Source organism: Homo sapiens, chromosome 9, assembly GCF_000001405.40.
Source record: "Homo sapiens chromosome 9, GRCh38.p14 Primary Assembly".
Lineage (NCBI taxonomy): Eukaryota > Metazoa > Chordata > Mammalia > Primates > Hominidae > Homo > Homo sapiens.
In genome coordinates, this window is record NC_000009.12 from 38,692,060 (window position 1) to 38,694,265 (window position 2,206).

Consider the following 2,206-nt stretch of genomic DNA (forward strand, 5'->3'; position numbering starts at 1 on the left):
GCTCTCAGCAACGTGGGGAGAGCATACTCTCGTAAACTGTCTGTTCAAATGGGAATTTCTCCAGCCTTTCTGGAAAGCCCATGTTAAAAGTAAAAATCGCAAATACCATTTTCTAATTTTCCATTCCCGGGAATATATTTTCTAGTATGAAACCCCTGGGATAAAGGACCTCCAGACAAGAGTATTTACTGCTGCATTGTTCAAATGCAAAACCTGGAAATTATGTGACTGTCTATGTCTAAAAGAATTGTTAACTTTATTACGGAACATCCACATCATGGGATAATATGGCCCCATTAAAAATGTGAATTGGAATTAAATTGACCTGGGAGCATTTGTATGAGGTATGGTTGAGTGAGGAACACAATATACACAGAAGAATATGATCCTTTGTAAGATTTTACCCCATGAACACATCCACACAAAGCCTTTTAGATATACAGTGGGTGTGAGTGTGTGTGAGTGTGTATGTGTGTGTTTGTACATGTAGAAAACTAGGTGAGGTTGTTACTGAGACATGAGAGTCACTGACAGTTGAGAGTAGAGGAAAAAGGGAGGGAGTAAGTACCAACCACAGACACGAAGGAGAAAAGGTTAGCAAAAAATTGTAATGAACCCTATCGGCGTGCATGATACGATCATATTTGTGCACCTACACGAAGTTACATGCACACGTATATGTGTGTTTGAAAAAATTAACAATGCACATCTAATCAGCTCATTCCTCCACCTGAAACCTGTCAATGGCCTGCTGTTACCCTGTGGTTAGATCCAGAGTTTCTTGTCTGGCTGCGGAGGCCCCTGCACCCCTCCCCCTCCTATGGAGTAGTCCCCTCCCCAGTCTCTGGGCTACAGACACATCTCCCCAGGGACCTCGGGTCCCCACCCCCTATCTCCTGCTCCTCTTTGGTTCTTCACACTTGCTTTTGTCCTCTGCCCAAGACATCCTCCCTGATGCATTTTCCTGGATGATTCTTACTTGTTTGTATTTCTTTCTTTATTCTATATATGTAGGGTGTACACCATGGTGTTCTGATGTACACATGCATAATGAAATGATTAATACCACCTAGACCTCAGCTTAAGCATCCATTTCTCAGGGAGCTTTCCCTTTTCCTTGACCCCCAGATGTGGTTAGCCTTCCTGATGTTCATTCCCATGGCCCTCTGCCCTTGCCAAAGTTCTATTTCTTTTTTTTTTTTTTTTCAGATGGAGTCCCGCTCTGTCGCCCAAGCTGGAGTGCAGTGGCATGTTCTTGGCTCACTGCAAGCTCCGCCTCCCGGGTTTACTTACGCTATTCTCCTGCCTCAGCCTTCCGAGTAGCTGGGACTACAGGCACCCGCCACGACGCCTGGCTAATTTTTTGTATTTTTAGTAGACACAGGGTTTCACCGTGTTAGCCAGGATGGTCTGGATCTCCTGACCTCCTGATCTGCCAGCCTCGGCCTCCCAAAATGCTGGGATTACAGGCATGAGCCACCGCGCCCTGACAGGTCTATTTCTTTATTAGTCTCCACCGTTTCTGAACTTTGTGCAGATTTTCCCAGCTGTAGTTTGCGGCTAATTTGTTGCATCTGAATTGAGTAAGAGCCCATGGCAGGGACCAGTAGGGCACCCTGGATCTCATCACGGTGGGCAGGGTAGAACACTTCTCCAACCCTTCTTGCCACCCGTGGCTCTGTCAGCTGAAATGAGGTCGTTTATTTCCTGTGGGAGCAGAAGGAAGCAGTTATGCCAGCGCATCTCAACTGCGAGGGCTGGGAACCTGTCCAGCACCGTTTCAAACTATGCCCCCACTGCACCCTCTGTGTCTCTCTGGCCGTCTGTGCTTCTTGGCCCCCCAGAGCTCCCCGTTTACATCCCTCTGCTGTAGCCTTGCAGGGAGGAACCCGGGCAGTGGAAGCCCCATCATTACTGCCCCCATAGAAGGCCACCTGCCCTGTGATCGTGTTTGGGGCCTGAGAGGAGGCTAACGTGAGGGTGACTTAAAATTCCAGAACGTGTCTGGACACCTGCTGCGCCACCAGAGAACTAACTCAACAAGTGTGAAGGGCGTCCACATGGGGGACTTGACGTTGAGGGCGCGGCAACCAAGTTTATCCGCATGCTCTCATTGCAGTTTTCTAATTAAACCCGTTTATGAAGAAAAAGCAACACATTTACAGGAAGAAATAAATTGAGTTCCTTTTCAAGCCATATTGTTAAA